Source organism: Homo sapiens, chromosome X (genome assembly GCF_000001405.40).
Source record: "Homo sapiens chromosome X, GRCh38.p14 Primary Assembly".
Lineage (NCBI taxonomy): Eukaryota > Metazoa > Chordata > Mammalia > Primates > Hominidae > Homo > Homo sapiens.
This window is the reverse complement of record NC_000023.11, coordinates 53,997,920-54,018,129: the sequence shown is the minus strand read 5'-3', so window position 1 is coordinate 54,018,129 and position 20,210 is coordinate 53,997,920. Positions and strand designations below refer to the sequence as shown.

Here is a 20,210-nt window from a genome sequence, read left to right as displayed (position 1 = left end):
TTGGTTTGAACAAATCTGTCAAACTTGTCAGATGTGTCTTTTCTTTCTGGCCAGGCTGTTGACTGATTTCTTCTTGTCACCCAGAGAAGAGCACCATGTTGGCAGAATACTCCCCACCTCTGCCAGTGACCTGGTCTCTTGCCTTGGACAGATCATTTCTTCCCTGGCAGATGAGGTTTTTGGCATTAGTTGCCAGCTCACATTAAGTCCCCTCATAAAAACCCCACCTCTTGGGTGAGTGGCAGCCTCCAATAAGGCCTTTAGTGGGCAGGGCCTCAGGCTCAAGCTTTCTCTCCTGCGGCCCACAGCTCAGATGAAGTGATTCTGAAGCCCACTGGAAATCAACTGACCGTGGAATTCCTGGAAGAAAATAGCTTCAGTGTGCCCATCCTGGTCCTGAAGAAGGATGGGTTGGGCATGACGCTGCCCTCGCCATCATTCACTGTGAGGGATGTTGAACACTATGTTGGTAAGACACTACAGACCCTTTTAACTGTAACATTGTTCATTCCTGTCAAGATCTGTGTCCCTTCCCCTCCAATCTGTTTTTGCATTTCCTCTGTAACCATCTTGGGAATCTCAGGTGAAATGCCTTGTCCAAAGTCATTCTTTGGCAGAGATAGAGTCAAAATCCTAGTCTCCTCTTTGTTCTCCTTTCATGCATTCACTCATTCGTTTATCAGAGACAGGGTCTCGCCCTGTTGCCCAGGCTGGAGTACAGTGGCGCAATTAACTCACTGCAGCCTCCACCTCCTCCTGGGCTCCAGGGATCCTCAAACCTCAACCTCCTGAGTAGCTGAGACTACAGGGATGCACCACCATGCCTAGCTAGTTTTGTTTATTTTTTGTAGAGATGATGTCACACTATGTTGCCCAGGCTGATCTCCAACTACTGGGCTCAAGCGATCTTTCTGCCTCGGCCTCCCAACTGGGATTACAGGCGTGAGCCACCACGCCCAGCCCCTTCTCCTTTTAATAGTCCATAAAACCCCAGGTTGAGCTCCGTTTTTTACCTGGGAAGTTCTAGGGATCATTGTCTGTCTTCTGTTGAAATGAGAAAGCTTTTGACTGTTGTTCTCACATGCCACTTGTTGTCTGGGCATGAGTTTCTGGGGAGAGGAAGAGAAGAAATGGAGAAGCAAGGCCCAGGCAGATGGACTACTATGTGTGAGGCTGTGTGTCTGGTAGTTCCATTGCCCTAGCAGGGCACATAGATCTAAGGAAAGTGCGATGGGTTCCTTCCCCTGCCCCCCAAACAAACACACACATATATGTACAGTGTCAGTGGAGAGAAGCTTTGAGTGTAAGGCCATTCTAGGGACTGATGAGGGGACAAGAGAGTCTTCCACAGTCCCTGAGACTACTTGGTGCAGAACCTATCTCTTTACTCCAGGTTCTGACAAAGAGATTGATGTGATTGATGTGACCCGCCAGGCTGACTGCAAGATGAAGCTTGGTGATTTTGTGAAATACTATTACAGCGGGAAGAGGGAGAAAGTCCTCAATGTCATTAGTTTGGAATTCTCTGATACCAGGTAAGAGGTGCAGGAATAACAAAAAAACCTGACAAAGTGCCTGAAACTTGTGTGATATATCTAGTGTATATTCGTGTTTCTCTCTCTTTTTTTTTTTTTTTGAGACAGAGTCTTGCTCTGTCGCCCAGGCTGGAGTACAGTGGCACGATCTTGGCTCACTGCAACCTCCGCCTCTTGGGTTCAAGCAATTCTCCTGCCTCAGCCTCCTGAGTAGCTAGGATTACAGGCGCCCGCCACCATGCCTGGCTAATTTTTGTATGTTTAGTAGAGATGGGGTTTCACCATGTTGGCCAGGCTGGTCTCGAACTCCCTACCTCAGGTGATCTGCCCGCCTTGGCCTCCCAAAGTACTAGGATTACAGGCATGAGCCACCGCACCTTGCCTCGTGTTCCTTTCTCTTCTTCCTGGTGGTTTCTTCCTTTGGGATGGCGAGCTGGGTTATATTTTCTAGGGTAGCTGCTCACGTTGTAACAGTTGAGTCATATTTCTCCTCCACAGTTTCTAGCATTGGATAGATTACATAGTAGCTATTTTAATTAATTTTTGTCTCCTTTTTCAAGACCTTAGGACACCCTTCTTTGACCTTTTCCTCCTATATACAACAGTGCCACAGTCACTGTGTAACTGGTGGGATAGGTCCTCAGTTCCTGGAAATAGATTTACTAAAATTACCCCCATGTAGGTTTCTTACATTTAAAAAGAAAAAGAGAAACCTATTTACCTTTAAATGATTCTATCTGGACTCACACACACAGTAGATACGTATATAGTCTTCTCTTTGGGTCAGAAATGTGGGAAATACCAAGAAATCATAATGTATCTTTTTGCCCTTAGGAAACTTACTGTCTGATTATTTACATTTTTAACTTTTAATTTGTAGATTGATAGGAAGTTGCAAAAAAGTGTACAGGGAGGTCCTGTGTACTCTTTAGCCACTTTCCCTCAATGGTAACGTATTATGTAATTACGGTACAATATTAAGACCCTTGCTGTTGTGTTTTTTTTTTTTTTTTTTTTTTGAGACGGAGTTTCGCTCTGTCACCCAGGCTGGAGTGCAGTGGCATGATCTCGGCTCACTGCAAGCTCCGCCTCCCTGGTTCACGCCATTCTCCTGCCTCAGCCTCCCGAGTAGCTGGGACCACAGGCACCTGCGACCACACCCGGCTAATTTTTTATGTTTTTAGTAGAGACGGGGTTTCACTGTGTTAGCCAGGATGGTCTCGATCTCCTGACCTCGTGATCCACCCACCTCGGCCTCCCAAAGCGCTGGGATTACAGGTGTGAGCCACCGCGCCCGGCGCTGTTGTTTTTAAGATGCAAGGTTAAACAACCTGAGAGTGTTTAAAAACTGTATTTGTTTGTTTATACTTCACTTCATCCTGAAAGACTATTCAAGGTAGCTTACAGAGATGTGGAGAAGCCAAAAAAAAAAGAGAGAAAACTAGAACAAAAGTGAAATAAGATTGGGAAATAGAATGCATGTGGTGGGTGCTCAGCACATTTCCCGGTTGGTGGAAATGGACTATAGAGTTTTCAGTGAATTTCCTGAAGGTCAGAACAAAGAGAGGAGTGCAGTATTGTAAGATTTGTGGCTTTACGTAGGATAAAAGCAACAGATGTTTCAGAGAAACATTTCTTTACCTGGAACTGAGCCCTGTGAGGTTGCTCTAGTGGTTTCTCATAAAGAAGACACTATGAGATGGGGATAGTGCAATAACTTCTATAATCCACATGCCAAGTGAGTAGTCTGGAGTGGGGCTGGGGAGTATGAGCATTTAGTGGAGGAAATGAACACCTTTGACTGGAGAAGCCTGTGGAGCTTGGACTTGGGACTTCTGGAGATGAGTAGAATGAGGATACTGACCAGACTTACAGAACAGAAATAAGTGTCCTATGTGCCTTTGGGGATTCTGTGGAGGGAACTTGTTCTCTGACTTATCTGACCCTCACTGAACTGTGGGGTATTTTATTCAGGCCTCAATCTTCTCTTCCTAATCAGCTGACATCTGCTCTCCACCCCTTCCTTGGTAGACTTTCTAACCTTGTGGAGACACCGAAGATTGTTCGAAAGCTGTCATGGGTCGAAAACTTGTGGCCAGAGGAATGTGTCTTTGAGAGACCCAATGTACAGAAGTACTGCCTCATGAGTGTGCGAGATAGCTATACAGACTTTCACATTGACTTTGGTGGCACCTCTGTCTGGTACCATGTACTCAAGGTAGGAATGCGCATGGCTTCTGGAGGCAGCCAGGCCTTGGGCCTCCCTGTACGTGTCACATGGCAGCACAGAAACATTTTGAATCAGTTTGATTTACATTTTGAATAAAAAAAATTTGATTTGGCCGGGCGCGGTGGCTCACGCCTGTAATCCCAGCACTTTGGGAGGCCGAGGCGGGCGGATCACGAGGTCAGGAGATTGAGACCATCCTGGCTAACACGGTGAAACCCCATCTCTACTAAAAATAAAAAAAATTAGCCGGGCTTGGTGGCAGGCGCCTGTAGTCCCAGCTACTTGGGAGGCTGAGGCAGGAGAATGGCATGAACCTGGGAGGTGGAGCTTTCAGTGAGCCGAGATTGTGCCACTGCACTCCAGCCTGGGCGACAGAACGAGATTCCATCTTAAAAAAAAAAATTGATTCAAAAATGTTTGACGAATCAAACGTTTTTGAATAATAGCAGATGCCTGAGGTTTTCCTGGTTGTTACCTTCTTTTTTGTTGTTGTTGAGGCAGAGTAAAAACAAAGATTTTATTTATTTATTTGAGATGGAGTTTTGCTCTGTCACCTAAGATGACAGTTGCCAGTGCTGGACTGCAGTGGCGTGATCTCAGCTCACTGCAACCTCTGCCTCCCGGGTTCAGGCGATTCTTCTGCCTCAGCCTCCCAAGTAGCTAGGATTATAAGCGCCCACCACCACGCCTAGCTAATTTTTGTATTTTTAGTAGAGACGGGGTTTCACCATGTTGGCCAGGCTGGTCTCGAACGCCTGACCTGAAGTGATCTGCTTGCCTCCACCTCCCAAAGTGTTGGGATTACAGTCGTGAGCCACTGCACCCAGCCGTTCTTACCTTCTTAATTGAACCAGTTTATACTCATATCAGCATGTATGGAAATGTCCACATTTACTTTGGAAATTCCTGGTAACATGAGAAACTTCCCTTTCTCCAACATTATTGAGGTATAATTTATATACTATAAAATTCATCCATTTTAATTGTACAATTTGATGAATTTTGTCAGTTGTATATAGTCATTTAACTGCCACCACAGTCAAGATAAAACCTGTATGAGAAGTCTTTTTAAAGTCAGGATTTCCATAGTTTCATTTTTAGTAATTGTTACAATTTTGTAATTAGTGTATTGTCAGTGACTATGAAGGATTTTTGAGGTCTGGAAAACAAATTTCTTAAATGATTTTGGTTTTCACCATTGTTCAGATTATTTAGTTTTCTTTTTTATTATTATTATTTTTTTCTTAGAAACAGAATCTGTCTCTGTCACCCAAGCTGGAGTGTGGTGGTGCAGTCATAACTCACTGCAGCCTCTCACTCCTGGGCTCAAGGGATCCTCCCACCTCAGCCTCCTGAGTAGCTGGGACTATAGGTGCATGCCATCACTCCCAGCTAATTTTTTTTACCTTTTTTTTTTTTTTTTTTGAGACAGTCTCTCACTTTGTCACCCAGGCTGGAGTGCAGTGGCATGATCATGGCTCACTGCAGCCTCGACCTGCTGTGCTTAAGCTGTCCTCCCACTTCAGCCTCCCAAGTAGCTGGGACTACAGGTGTGCACCACCACTTCTGGCTAATTAAAAAAAATTATTTTTGTAGAGACTAGCTCTCACTATGTTGCCCAGGCTGGTCTCAAACTCCTGAGCTCCAGCAGTCTTCCCACCTTGGCCCTCAAAGTGCTAGGATTACAGACGTGAGCCACTGTGTCCAGACAATTTTTTTACTTTATTTTTTGTAGAGACAGAGTCCCACTGTGTTGCCCAGGCTGGACTCGAACTCCTGGGTTCAAGTGATCTTCCTGCCTCAACCTCCCAAAGTGCTGAGATTTCAGGCTTGAGCCAACATGCCTGGCCTAGTTTTCTTATCAGAAAAGTCAAAGGAAAGAATGGAAAACTTGGATTGTGGCTCTTGTCCAAGTGATCACAAGTCCTTACCTAGTTGTTTCCATTGGTTTATCATTTAGGAAGTAGAATGTGTAAATGAAAGTGCTATTATGCAAATGTTAGGTTTAACTCTTTTATTTTAAAATAATTTCATTTTATAGAAAAGTTAAAAAATAATGGGAAGAATGTCTGTCTGCCCTTCCCTGAGATTCCTCAAATGTTACCATTTTATTATATTCTCTCTCTAAAGCAAACACAATAAAATGGTTATATATATATTTTTTTCCTGAGACATTTGTGCGTAAAGACATAATATTTCTTTATATCTTAATAATTCAGTTGTAGTTCTTAACTACAAGTTTGTCTTAAAACTTTGTCTTAAAAACAAAGACAAAGTCTTAAATAATTTGTATAGTTATCAAAATCAGGAAGTTAACATTGATATACTAGTACCTAATCTACAGACCTGATTCAAAATTCTCCGGTTGTACACCTGATATTTCTAGTGTTACTTTTCTACATTGAAATTTATTATCATGAAATACTGGTTAAACCAATCATGCTGTGAGAATATATTTGTGCTACTGGGTTTTTGTTTCTTTCTTTTTTTTTTTTTTTTTTTGCCAAATTATCTTTCTGGTGTTTATCCAGGCAAAACACAATTAGGAAATAAATGTTCTTCCAAAAGATAATCACATAACATATAATCTTCCAGAAGTCCTTGGGCGATTACTGAACTTTTAAACTTTTATTAGCTTTGATTGCAGGTGTGGGAAGGAACACTCTGTAAATGGCATTTGAAGGCAAATTCAATTTTCTTCTCATCAGTAATGTGGCCTTAAATTCTCCTAAGGCTACTAGTATTGATCTACTCATCTGTAGAGGCCATTCTTTATTTGGCATTGTGTCTAAAATAGGAACACTTGGTGTACATATGTCTTAACTTGAACAATTTTGTTTGAAATGCCCTTTCCAATTTGTTTTTGTCAAGTTTATAGAAACTTAAAAGTACAAAAAGCAAAGTGACCTTTTGAAGTTTTCCAAATCCACAAAGAAATGATAATTGGATGGGTTTGGGCAAGAACTCTGGCATATTGCCATCGTTTTGGAGCATGGGAGAAATACCCCTTTGGAGTACCCGTTAAGGACTTTTCTGGAAACCCTTGGTATTTTTGTCACTTCAACCTCTTTTTGTTTCAGGGTGAAAAGATCTTCTACCTGATCCGCCCAACAAATGCCAATCTGACTCTCTTTGAGTGCTGGAGCAGTTCCTCTAATCAGAATGAGATGTTCTTTGGGGACCAGGTGGACAAGTGCTACAAGTGTTCCGTGAAGCAAGGACAGACACTTTTCATTCCCACAGGTCTTCCCTTGGGTGCTTCTGGGAGGGTTTGGGGAGGGTGGAAAGAAGAAGGGAGCTTTTGGCCCCACAGCATATTAATCTGATTACGTGGGATGTCTTTCTCATATCAGCGAAAGGCGCAGAACTGGGCTTCAAGAAATTTCATGTGGTAGTCAGTGGGCAGCATGGTCACCTGGGGAGGCTGAAAGTGGGGAATGTCCAGGAGGAGGCTGATGGACTTCTTTGTCCTGGGTTGATGTCATCTGGGTGAACAGAGAACATGACTCTAAGCCCCGTAACTCTAGGGATAGTGCCTGGGAGGCTGGCATTCTAGGCTCTAAGTCAGAATGACCTGTGGTGGGGATAGTGCTTTTTTTCCCTAAACAGTTTGTACCTGGGCTTCACTCTTAGAATTATGAATTCTTAGGTCTTGGGTGGGATCTGAGTATATTTATTGTGAAAAAATCCCCCAGTTGTCTCAATTTGGGGAGAGTTGACATCTTTACTTGATTAGGTCTTATATGAATACAGGGTATCTCTCCATTTATTTAGATTTTCTTTGATTTCTTTAATCAGAATTAGTGTTAAATTTTCTTAAAATGTATAGTAGAATTCTCTAGTGCAATCACATATGCCTGGAGATTTGTTTTCTTGGGAAGTTTTAAATTAACATTCAATTTAAAAAATCTTTAAGGTTATTCAGATTTTCTATTTCATATTAAATAAGTTGCGATCATCTGCTCTTCAAGGAATTGGTCTATTTAATCTAAATTGTCAAATATATGTGTGGAGTTGTTCATAGTGTTTTCTTTTTTTTGAGATGGAGTTTCACTCTTGTCACCCAGGCTGGAGTGCAGTGATGCGATCTCGTCTCACTGTGACCACTGCCTGCATCCCAGGCTCAAGAGATTCTCTTGCCTCAGCCTCCTGGGTAGCTGGGATTACAGGCTTGCACTACCACGCCCGGCTAATTTTTGTATTTTTAGTAGAGATGGGGTTTTACCATGTTGGCCATGGCTGGTCTCGAACTTCTGACCTTGACCTCAGGTGATCCACCCGCCTCAGTCTCCCAAAGCGCTGGGATTATAGGCGTGAGCCACCGCACCCAGCCATAGTATTTTCTTATTACCCTTTTGATGTCTTCCAAGTCTCTAGTGGTATTCTTTGTATCATTCCTGACGTTAGTTATTTGTGCTTTCTCTTTTGTTTGTGTCAATTTTCTATAGGTTGGTCAATTTTATTGATCTTTCCAAAGAGCCACTTTTTTTTTTTTTTTTTTTTTTTTTTTTTTTTTTTTTCTGAGACAGAGTCTCACTCTGTCACCCAGGCTGGAGTGTAGTGGTGCGATCCCGGCTCACTGCAACCTCCGCCTCCCAGGTTCAGGTGATTCTCTTGCCTCAGCCTCCTGAGTAGCTGGGATTACAGGTGCCTGCTGCCACGCCTGGCTAATTTTTGTATTTTTGGTAGAGTTGGGGTTTCACCGTGTTGGCCAGGATGGTCTTGATCTCCTGACCTCATGATCTGCCTGCCTTGGCCTCCCAAAGTGCTGGGATTACAGGGGTGAGCCACCGCACCCGGCCCACTTTTGGTTTTATTGATTTTTCTCTGTTGTCTTTTTGTTTTCAGTTGTGTTGATTTCTGCTTTTATCTTTATTTTTCCTTCCCTCTGCTTGCTTTGGGTTTATTTTGTTCTTTTTCTAGTCTTGAGATGAGAGCTTAGTTTATTGATTTCAGGCTTTCCCTAAATTTCCCTCTCAGCATTGATTTAGGTGTGTCACACAAATATTGACATGTTGTATTTTCATTAAGTTAAATGAGGTTTTGAAAAATTGAGATACATCTTAAATATTGTAAAATTTACCATTTTAAAGGGTACAATTCAGTTCTTTGTATATTTACAAGGTTGTGCAACATCACTGCTATTTAATACCAGAGAATGTTCATTATGTTATTTATCTCCTTTTTGAGATGGAGTCTCACTCTGTTACCCAGGCTGGAGTGCAGTGGCACAATCTCGGCTTACTGCAACTTCCGCCTCCCGGGTTCAAGTGATTCTCCTGCCTCAGCCTCCCGAGTAGCTGGGACTACAGGCTTGTGCTACCACACCCGGCTAATTTTTGTGTTTTTAATAGAGATGGGGTTTCACCCATGTTGGCCAAGCTGGTCTTGAACTCCTGACCTCAGGTGATCCACCCGTCTCAGCCTCCCAAAGTGCTGGGATTACAGGCGTGAGCCACTGTGCCCGGCCCGAATGTTCATTGTTTTTTAAAAAAACCCTATACTCATTAGCAGTCACTCTTTATTCATTTGTCTGCCAGCCCTTGACAACCCCTTTTTCACTTCATTTGTGTATGGATTTGCCCTTCTGAATATTTCATATAGATGGAATGTTGTAATATGTTGTCTTTTGTGTCTAGCTTCTTTCACTTGTAATGTTTTCAAGAATCATCCATGTTACAGCATTTATCAGTATGTCCAGGCTGGAGTGCAGTGGCGCGATCTTGGCTCACTGCAACCTCTACCTCCCAAGCTGAAGCGATTCTCCTGCCTCAGCCTCCTGAATAGCTGGGATTACAGGCACCTGCCACCACTGGCCTGGGTAATTTTTGTATTTTTAGTAGAGATGGGGTTTCACCATATTGGCCAGGCTGGTCTCGAACTCCCAACCTCAGGTGATCCACCCACCTAGGCCTCCCAGAGTGCTGGGATTACAGGCGTGAGCTACTCCTGCTCCCTGGCGAGTGCATCTTTTTTTTTTTTTTTTTTTTTTTGACGGAGTATTGCTCTGTTGCCAGGCTGGAGTGCAGTGGTGCAGTGGCGCGATCTCCACTCACTGCAACCTCCGCCTCCCAGGTTCAAGCGATTCTCTGGCCTCAGCCTCCCGCATAGCCGGGACTACAGGCATGCGCCACCATGCCCAGCTAATTTTTGTGTTTTTAGTAGAGACGGGGTTTTACCATGTTGGCCAGGATGGTCTCAATCTGTTGACCACGTGATCTGTCTGCCTCAGCCTCCCAAAGTGCTGGGATTACAGGTGTGAGCCACTGCGCCGACCACTTCGTTCTTTTTAACAGCTGAATAATATTCTGTGGTGTGGATATGCCACATTTTGTTTATCCATTAGTCAGTTGATAGACATTTGAGTTGTTTGCACTTTTTGGCTGTTATGAATAGTGTTGCTATGAACATTCGTGTACGAGTTATTGTGTGAACGTAAGTTTTCATTTCTCTTGGGTATATATCTAGGAGGGGAATTGCTGAGTCATATGTAACTCTGTGTTTAACTTTTTGAGGAACTGACAAACTGTTTTCAAAGCAGCTACATGTACCATTTTATATTCTCAACAGTAATGTATGAGAATTTCAGTGTCTTCACATCTTCCCCCAATGCTTATTGCTGTCTCTTTATGATTATAGCCATCCTAATGGGCGTAAAGTGGTATCTCATTGAGGTTTTGATTTCTGTTTTCTGGATGACCTTTGATGTTTAACATCTTTCCAAATGTTCATTGGACACTTGTATAGTTTTTTTTGGAGAAATATCTATTTAAATCTTTTGCCCATTCTTTAATTAGATTGTCTCTTCATTGTTGAGTTACAAGAATTTATATACTTTGGATACTAGACTTTTACCAGATATGTGATTTGCAAATATTTTCTCTCATTCTTGGGGTTGTCTTGTCACTTTTTTGATAGTGTCCTATGAAGGACAAAAGTTACAAATTTTGATGCCCAATTTATCTATTTTTTTTTCTTTATTTGCTTATGCTTTTGGTGTCTAAGAGGCTTGCTTAATTCAAGGTCATGAAGATTTATGCCTATGTTTTCTTCTAAGCATTTTATAGTTTTAGTTCTTACATTTAGATCTTTCATCCATTTTGATTTATATTGATTTTGTGTATGGTATGAGGTAAGGGTCCAATTTCTTTCTTTTGTATGTAGTTCTAGTTGTCCCAGAACCTTTTGAAAAGACTGTTCTTTCCCCATTGAATTGTCTTGACACCTGTGTCAAAAATCTGTTGACCAAAGATAAGGGTTTATTTCTGGACCTTGAATTCTATTCTGTTGATCCTTCTAACAGTGTCACACCATCTCAATTATTGTACATTTGTAGTAAGTTTTGAAATTGGGAAGTGCCAGTGCTCCAACTTTTTCTTTTTCAGGATTATTTGGCCCCTTGAATTTTTTTTTTTTTTTTTTTTTGAGATGAAGTTTTGTTCTTGTTGCTGAGGCTGGAGTGCAATGGTTGCGGTCTCAGCTCACTGCAACCTCAGCCTCCTGGGTTCAAGCGATTCTCCTGCCTTAGCCTCCCGAGTAGCTGGGATTACAGGCACCCGTCACCATGCCCGGCTAATTTTTTCGTATTTGCAGTAGAGACGGGGTTTCACCATGTTGGCTCAGCTGGTCTCGAACTCTAGACCTCAGGTGATCCACCTGCCTTGGCCTCCCAAAGTGCTGGGATTACAGGCGTCAGCCACAGGGCCCAGCCGGTCCCCTGAATTTTCATAAGAATTTTTTGGTTCAGCTTTCATATAGGTTTTCTAGTTATTTTGTAGTGTTTGCTCTAATTATTACTTTATACATACATAGCATATCACAGTCTACTAGTATTTACATATTACCTGTTTGAGGGAAGGGTTGAAACCATACCTCTTTTTTTTGAGACAGAATCTCATTCTGTCACCCAGCCTGGAATGCAGTGGTAAGATGACAGCTCACCACAGCCTTGACCTCCCAGGCTCAAGCAATCCTCCCACCTCAGCCTCCCAAGTAGCTGGGACCACAGATGTACACTACCACGTCTGGCTGATTTTTTTAGTTTTAGTGGAGATGGGGTTTTGCCATGTTGCCCAGGCTGGTCTTGAACTCCTGAGCTCAAGTGATCCACCCACCTCGGCTTCCTAAAGTGCTGGGATTATAGGCGTGAGTCACCGCACCGGGCCCAAAACCTTACCTCTTTTTACATCCCTTTATCCTTCGCATTTTTCTACAATTAGTCATGTTTTACATTTTTCCATGTATTTGTCTTAAATATTTCTCTTCATACATTGATTATGAGATTGACGTGCTACCCACTACACCAAGAGGGCTACTATCCTCTGCGTATGTTGAGAACTGTATCACAAAGTTTTATAATTTTTGCTTTCCCTATGAAACATAATTTAGAAAACTCAAGAGAAGGAAATTCTATGGTATTCACCCATGTTTTTACTCATCTGTTTATTCTGTTTTCCTTTCTGGTCTTTAGAGTTTCAGGGTAGGTCTACTGTCGACAAGTTCTTAGTTTTTTTCCATCAGTAAATGTCTTGATTTTTTTTTTCTTTCATTCCTGAAGGATATTTTTCTGGATATAGAACTCTGGGTTAATAGTTCTTTTCTTTCAACACCTAAAGAATGTTTTGCTGTTTCGTTCTGGCCTCTGTGGTTTCTGATGAGATTTTGGCTATCATCTGAATTGTTTTTCCCCTATAGATAATGTATCATTTCTTGATGCTTTCATTCTTTTTTTTTTTTTTTTTTAAGTTTTCTGCAGTTTGGCCATGCTGTGTTTTTTTTGGTGTGGATTTCTTTGGGTTTATAATGCTGAATGTGTTCACTGAGCTTCTTGAATGTGTAGGTTTATGTCTTTTGCTGTATATGTGAAATTTTTAGCCATTATTTCTTTTCCTTTTTTTTTCTTTTCTTTCTTTCTTTCTTTTTTTTTTTTGAGAGGGAGTGTCACTCTGTTGCTCAGGCTGGAGTGTAGTGGAGCGATCTCGGCTCACTGCAGTGTCCGCCTCCCGAGCAGCTGGGATTACAGGCATGTGCCACCATGCCCTGCTAATTTTTGTATTTTTAGTACAGACAGGGTTTCACCATATTGGCCATGCTGGTCTTGAACTCCTGACCTCAGGTGATCTGCCTGCCTTGGCCTCCCAAAGTGCTGGGATTACAGGCATGAGCCACCGCGCCAGGCTGCCATTATTTCTTGAAATACTTTTTTAGACTCATGCTCTAACTTCTGCTGGATCTCTGATTACATGAATGTTTTGTATCTTGTCTTAGTCCCGCAAGTCCTTGAGTTTATTTTTCTGTGTCTTTTTTCTCTTTGTTCAAGTTCAGATTGGGTAATTTCGGTTTCTCTGTCTTTGCATTTTCTGTTTCTTTCTTCTGTTGTCTCCATTCTTCTGTTGAGTTTGTCAATTGCATTAATTTTAGATACAGTATTTTTTTTTTTTTGACACAGAGTTTCTCTCTAGCACCCAGGCTGGAGTGCAGTGGCGTGATCTCAACTCACTGCAACCTCTGCCTCCTGGGTTCCAGTGATTCTCCTGCCTCAGCCTCCCAAGTAGATTACAGGCACGCACCACCATGCCCGGCTAATTTTTATATTTTTAGTAGAGACAGGGTTTCACCATGCTGATCAGGCTGGTCTGAAGCTCCTGACCTCGTGATATACCCACCTCGGCCTCCCAAAGTGCTGGGATTACAGGCGTGAGCCACCACAGCTGGCCCAGATACAGTACTTTTCATTTCTAAAATTTTCTTTTGTTTCTTGTGTATTTCTTTGCTGAGAATTTCTATTTCCTATTTTTGTGTCAAGCATGTTTGGAATTGCTCACTAAGGTATTCTTATGATGATTTCTTATGATGATTTCTTTCAAATTCTTGTTACATAATTCTATATTTGTCTAACCATATATTGTCTTATATATATTGGATTGTCTATTGTTTTACAAGTCTGTTTTTCTCTTCAATTATCAATATTATTGATACGATTTCATTGGTTTTTTAGAATGTTTAATACATGGTGAGGCAGGTCATTCACTCCCACCCAACTCCCACCCCCATCTGCTTTTCTCTTTTATAGTTTTCTGTTCCCAGGCATTTATTCATCCATCTTTGAATCCTTTGCCTGGTCTAGTCCATAATGACTTTTCTATACTGGGCATTTAGTAACTGATGGATTGAATTTGCCCATTAGCGGTTTGAGTTAATTAATTGACATCTTGGTAGAAATGCCCACACACCGGGTGCAATCTACTTAGGGCCACAAGCATTGAGTGTCTACTGTGTGCCCTGGTATTGGGCTAAGTGCTAAGGACAAAAGATTGATAGGCTGTTTCAGTATAATATTCTACTAGCCACAATAGCACCAATAGGGGTATTCACCACTAGTTTTGGAAGCACAGAGAAGAGTGCTTAGTCTAGCCATAGGTTTGTGAAAGTCTTAGGAGAGCAACACTAGAAGGGTGAGTAGGGATTAACTATGAAAAGAAAGACAGGAATGGCATTTCAGACATAGGGAAAGGTGGAAGAAAACCAAAACTGTGTGAAGCAGCTTATGGATACTAGAGCTTAAAGAGCAAGGGCTGGGGTGGATGAAAGTGAAAAGGTAGGCCGACTGAACTTACCACAGAGGCGATTGAGGGCCATTGAAGGTTTATTTAGTTTCTAATGAAATATTTCAGATGTACCAAAAGATATAAAGAACAATATAGGCCGGGTGCAGTGGCTCATGCCTGTCGCTGAGGCTGGAGTGCAATGGTGCGATCTCGGCTCACTGCAACCTCTGCCTCCCGGGTTCAAGTGATTCTCCTGCCTCAGCCTCCCGAGTAGCTGGGATTACAGGTGCCTGCCACCATGCCCAGCTAGTTTTTGTATTTTTAGTAGAGACGGGGTTTCGCCATGTTGGTCAGGCTGGTCTCAAACTCCTGACCTCAGGTGACCCACCCGCCTCGGCCTCCCAAAATGCTGGGATTACAGGCATGAGCCACTGTGCCTGACCCTAATTTATATTTTAGATATATCGCTTAGGAATGGATGTGAAGGATAGATTTGAGATTATTGTAGAGCAGTGGTTTGCAAACAGTCGGTATTCCTTTATACTCTTAAAAACTATTAAGGACCCAGAAGAGCTTTTTATTATGTGGTTTATATTTATCAATTTTTACCATATAAATTAAAATAGAAAATTTAAAAGTACTTGTTAACTTATTAAAAAATAATTATAAGCCCATTACATGTTAGCATAAATAAAATTTTTTTTATGAAAACTGTTTTCAAAAATGTTTAGTGGGAAGAATGACATTGTTTTACATCTTTGCAAATCTCTATAATATCTAGGTTAATCAAAAATTGTTAGAACCCCAGATCTGCTTTTGCTTTCATTCTGTTGGATGTCACATCATGTACTTCCTGGAAAACTCCACTGTATACCCATGAGAATAAGGGTGAAAAAGGCAAAGAACATCATAATATTCTCATGAATATAGTTCTGAGTGGCATCTCAGCTTCTCTCAAAGAGTCTCAGGGAGCCTAAGGATTCCTTGGACCACACCTTGAGAACATCTGGTGTTGGGAAGCCAGTTTGGAGGCTAACTGCTCTTAAGGAGTTGGGTTTGAGATGAGTAGGTAGTGGAGATAATCAGAGGAAGAAAGGCCCTCTTCCAGCTTTGATTTTGCCTTGTTACACTGCAGGGTGGATCCATGCTGTGCTGACGCCTGTGGACTGCCTTGCCTTTGGAGGGAACTTCTTACACAGCCTTAACATCGAGATGCAGCTCAAGTGAGTACTGAAACTGTGGTGATTCTATGTTGGCCATTCCTGTCTGCTAGAGTGAGGAGTATAATGTAGAAGGAGGGGACATGGCCAGAAAGGAATGGTTCCTCGTTCCTGATCATGTTCAGCTGAAGATTAACACCTTTTCTGCACTTAGTAGTTATTTGACTTTGGGCAAGTTATATAACCTTTGAACCCAAGTTTCCTAATGTGTAAAGTCAGATCTTGCAGAGTCATTTTGAGGATTAGAGATACAAAGCATCCAGAACAAAACCTGATTCATAGTAGGTGCTCAGTAAATGAATCCTTGTTTTTGTTGTTGGTGTTTCCTCCTTCTAGAGCCTATGAGATTGAGAAGCGGCTGAGCACAGCAGACCTCTTCAGATTCCCCAACTTTGAGACCATCTGTTGGTATGTGGGAAAGCACATCCTGGACATCTTTCGCGGTATGGAGCCCTTTGCCAACTGTCCTTTTTGCCCCTCTCCCCTGAGTGAATGAGTATGTGTGTATGTGTAAGTAACGCAGTCAAGACATGATACTATTTCATTACCAGAAAGATCTCAGTATATAAATTAAAATCATGTTGTGTACCGTAAATATGTTCAATTTTTAAAAAGTGATAATTAGTGCTTTAAAAAAAATCTCCCTAGTGCTACCCGCCCAGCCCCGAGCCCCTTCTTTTTTGAGATAGGATTTCACTCAGTCACCCAGGCTGGAGTGCAGTGGTGTGATCATGGCTCACTGCAGCTTCAAACTCCTGGGCTCAGGCAATCCTCCTGCCTCAGTTTGCCGAGTAGCTAAGACTACAGGCATGGGCCCCCACACCTGGATAATTTTGTAAATTTTTTGTATGAACAGGGTCTTGTTATGTTGACCAGATTGGTCTCAAACTCCTGGCCTCGAGTGATTCTCCCACCTCAGACTCCTTTTGCTGGGGTTACAGGCATGAGCCACAGTACCCAGCAATGCTACCCCTTTATAGTCCCTTTATAGTTTCACCCACTCTCCTCCCTTGTACCATCCGTAACTTCTGGAAACCACTAATCTGTTTTCCATTTCTATAATTTTGTCATTTCTTTTTTCTTTTTTTCCGAGACACAGTCTCACTCTTGTCACCCAGGCTGGAGTGCAGTGGCGTGATCTTGGCTCACTGCAACCTCCATCTCCTGGGTTCAAGCTTTGCCTACCTCAGCCTTCTGAGTAGCTGGGATTACAGACACCCGCCACCACACTCGGCTAGTTTTTATACTTTTTTTTTTTCTTTTTCTTTTTTTTGAGATGGAGTCTCGCTCTGTCACCAGGCTGGAGTGCAGTGGTGCAGTCTCTGCTCACTGCAAACTCTGCCTCCTGGGTTCAAGTGATTCTTCTGCCTCAGCCTCCAGAGTAGCTGGGACTATAGGCACGCGCCACTGTGCCCAGCTAATTTTTGTATTTTTAGTAGAGACGGGGTTTCACCATGTTGGCCAGGATGGTCTCAATCTCTTGACCTCGTGATCCGCCCGCCTCAGTCTCCCAATGTGCTGGGATTACAGGCGTGAGCCACCACGCCTGGCCAAATTTGTCATTTCAAAAATATTGTATAAATGGAATCATTATAGTACGTGACCTTCTTAGATTCACTTTTTTACTCAGCATAATACATGGCAAGGCATGGATTTTAACCTTTTTGTTTAGCAAGTGTGACTGAAAATATTGGATCACAGTGAAATGATCTCTATTTCCTGCTGGTTAAGATAAAAAGTTCAATTTGGATAGTCTGAGAGTTTCCTGGATCTGCTTCCCCTGGGGATAAGGCCCAGTCCTGACCGTCCTGGCATCATTGTTTTGGTTCCTGGGCGTTAGCCCAGTTGGAAGCCACTTTACTTACTGGGTTTCCTCTTTCCTTGTCTGATCCAGAATAGAATGGGTCCCTTACTTAGGCCTGAGATTCTTCAAGTTGACTTGGCCAGGAGAAATCAGTATTGATGAGTTATAAAGAATCTCAGGGGCCATGAGTACAGCCTCGTAGCCAATACCTCAAGCTCTTATTCTGCCACCTAGACTGTCACTTAAGTGTTCAATCAGATGCTGGATGACTAACTGCTCATTACTTATTCTAAACAGCTTGGTTCAGTAGAAAATTATTTATAGAGCCTAAATCTGGCTGTTTGTAGTAGCCTCCTGACATAAGGCAGAACACAGCTAATCCATCTTCTACATTAATGGCCCTTAAAGTCTGTGTAGGTAGAGCTCATAGTCCTCCTGAGTGTTCTCATTTTGAAACCCAGGAGGCACAGTAATGTCATGGAAGGGGCCCAAGCCTCAGATTCAAATACACATGGTTTTAGTCATGGCTCTAGCACTTGCTAGGTGTGTGCCCTGGGTCTTGACTTTGCCTCTCTGAACCTCAATTTTCTGGGCTGTATAATGAAGATAATACCTTGCTTACAGGATAGGTATAAGTGTTAAATGAGATAATAGATATCACATTCCTAGCACTTAGTAGGTACTCAGTGAATGAACACTATCAGAAGAACTGAGATCTGCAGTTGTGCTCAGAACCTTGAGCATTTTCTCTGGTTGTCTTAACAAAAGTCCCAAGTCCTTCACTTTCCTGCATGGCTTTGTTGACACTCTGCTTTCCTCTTTCCTCCTTTAGGTTTGCGAGAGAACAGGAGACACCCTGCCTCCTACCTGGTCCATGGTGGCAAAGCCTTGAACTTGGCCTTTAGAGCCTGGACAAGGAAAGAAGTAAATATGCATATTTCTCTACCTCCTCTGGAGTTTTGCCCTTTGTAGGGACTGGATTTGGGTAGATGTTTTGGAGAGACAGAAGAGACCAGAGAAGCTTGTGGGCTCCTGGGTGTAGAGTGGAGGTGTGGGCTAGGATTCCTTTGATTACATTTTAAAATCTTTCTTTCTGATGATAAAAAGTAATACAACATCACACTAGAGAATTAGAAAAATGAGGAAAAGCATAAAGAAGGAAAATTATCACCTATGATTTTTACACTCAGCGGGAACTGCTATTAACACTTGTGTACATTTCCTTCTGGTCTTTTTTATGTGCATTTTAAAAACATAATTACTGTCACACTGTGTGGTTGACCCTTGAACAATGTGGAGGTTGGGGTGCAGACCCTGCCCCCCAATGCAGTCAAAAATCCACATATAACTTTTGCCTCCCTAAAACCTTAACTGCTAACAGCCTACTGTTGACCAGAAGCCTTACCAGTAATATAGTCAACACATATTTTGTATATGTTATTTGTGTTGTATACTGTATTATTACAATAAAGTAAGCTGAAAACATGTGTTTACTGTTCATAAAGTGGAAATGAATCCTCATAAAGGGCTTCATCCTTGTCTTCACATGGAGTAGGCTGAGGAGGAAGAAAAAGGAGAGGGGTTGGTCTTGCTGTCCCGGGTGGCCCAGGCAGAAGAAAATCTGCATATAAACGGACCCATACATTTCAAACCCATGTTGTTCAAGGGTCAACTGTATATCCAGTTTTGTGTTTGAATCTATTGGTTTGTCTTAATTTTCCTGTGTCACCAAAGTTCTCCAGAAACATTTAATAGTTATGTGATATTCTTTTGCAGGAATGTACCATCCTTGCCTAACTACTTGCTTATTGCTGCTTCCTTTTTATTTCTTTGAGGGGATAGTTTTAAAGAATCAGACAGTAAATATCAGTCTTTGTCCCTCATTTCTTGATTGTTTCTTCAGGATGGATTCCTGGAAGAACAATTACTGAATCAAAGTATATGAAAAAATGTAAGGCTCTTGATGCATACTGCCAAAGTGGGTTTTAGAAATGTACAAATGTCCATTTATCCAACTGAACATTAATCAACTATAAAAAAAAATAAGAAAGCTCTGTATGTACTGATTTGGAAAGATCTCCAAAATTTGTCAAGGTGCACAACCGTGTGTATAGTGTGCCACTTTATATGTAAAAAGGGGAGAAATAAGAATTATGTTAGTATATACTTGCCTGGATATATGATCTGGGATGTAGAAACTAATGAAAATGGTTACCTGTGGGAGTGGGATGATGGGATTGATGGCAGGGGCAGGGTGGGATTGATGGCAGGGACAGGGTAGGAATGAAGCTTTTCAATATCATTTTATTTTATTTTATTTTATTTTATTTATTTATTTATGAGACAGAACCTCACTCTGTCGCCCAGGCTGGAGTGCAGTGGCACGATCTCAGCTCACTGCAGCCTCTGCCTCCCAGGTTCAAGCGATTCTCGTGCCTCAGCCTCCTGAGTAGCTGGGATTACAGGCATGTGCCACCACGCCTGGCTAATTTTTGTATTTTTAATAGAGACGGGGTTTCACCATGTTGGCCAGGCTGGTCTCGAACTCCTGACCTCAAGTGATCCATCCACCTCAGCCTCCCAAAGTGCTGGGATTACAGGCATGAGCCACCACACCTGGCCTGCCTTTCTTTTCTAATGTAAGCCTTTAGCTGTTAATTTCCTTCTCAGCACCAATATTTGATTTTTGACCTATGTGAACGAATTAACTTTTCAGAATACTGAATTTAAAAAACACACCAAGAAATCAAGAGAAGAAGAAATGTCAACATGTAATCTTAGGCTTCAGATACTCCCTTTCCTGTGTATACTGTGACCAAAGGTCACTGCACTGCAGGCTTAACTTGTACAATCTCCTTAGTTCCTGTTGCCAAC

General features: G+C 42.1%; 1 protein-coding gene across 12 annotated transcripts in view, besides 1 other annotated feature; it reads left to right on the top strand.

The window, feature by feature from the left end:
- PHF8 (PHD finger protein 8) overlaps positions 1 to 20,210 on the top strand; it is a 112,257-nt gene that overhangs the window by 30,807 nt on the left and 61,240 nt on the right. For all 12 annotated transcript variants that reach the window (XM_005261996.2, XM_011530778.2, XM_047441934.1 and 9 more), the window contains 7 exons: positions 309 to 469; positions 1,394 to 1,535; positions 3,567 to 3,753; positions 6,846 to 7,008; positions 15,448 to 15,535; positions 15,869 to 15,975; positions 18,169 to 18,260. In XM_005261996.2, coding sequence (XP_005262053.1) covers positions 309 to 469; positions 1,394 to 1,535; positions 3,567 to 3,753; positions 6,846 to 7,008; positions 15,448 to 15,535; positions 15,869 to 15,975; positions 18,169 to 18,260 — 940 coding nt within the window. The remainder of the gene's footprint in view (positions 1 to 308; positions 470 to 1,393; positions 1,536 to 3,566; positions 3,754 to 6,845; positions 7,009 to 15,447; positions 15,536 to 15,868; positions 15,976 to 18,168; positions 18,261 to 20,210) is intronic.
- Positions 10,167 to 10,367: a silencer, noted in NCBI's record as "peak7381 fragment used in MPRA reporter construct". NCBI's record gives its function as "represses an SCP1 promoter by STARR-seq MPRAs in K562 erythroleukemia cells {active_cell/tissue: K562}" and the evidence as "EXISTENCE:reporter gene assay evidence [ECO:0000049][PMID:32103011]".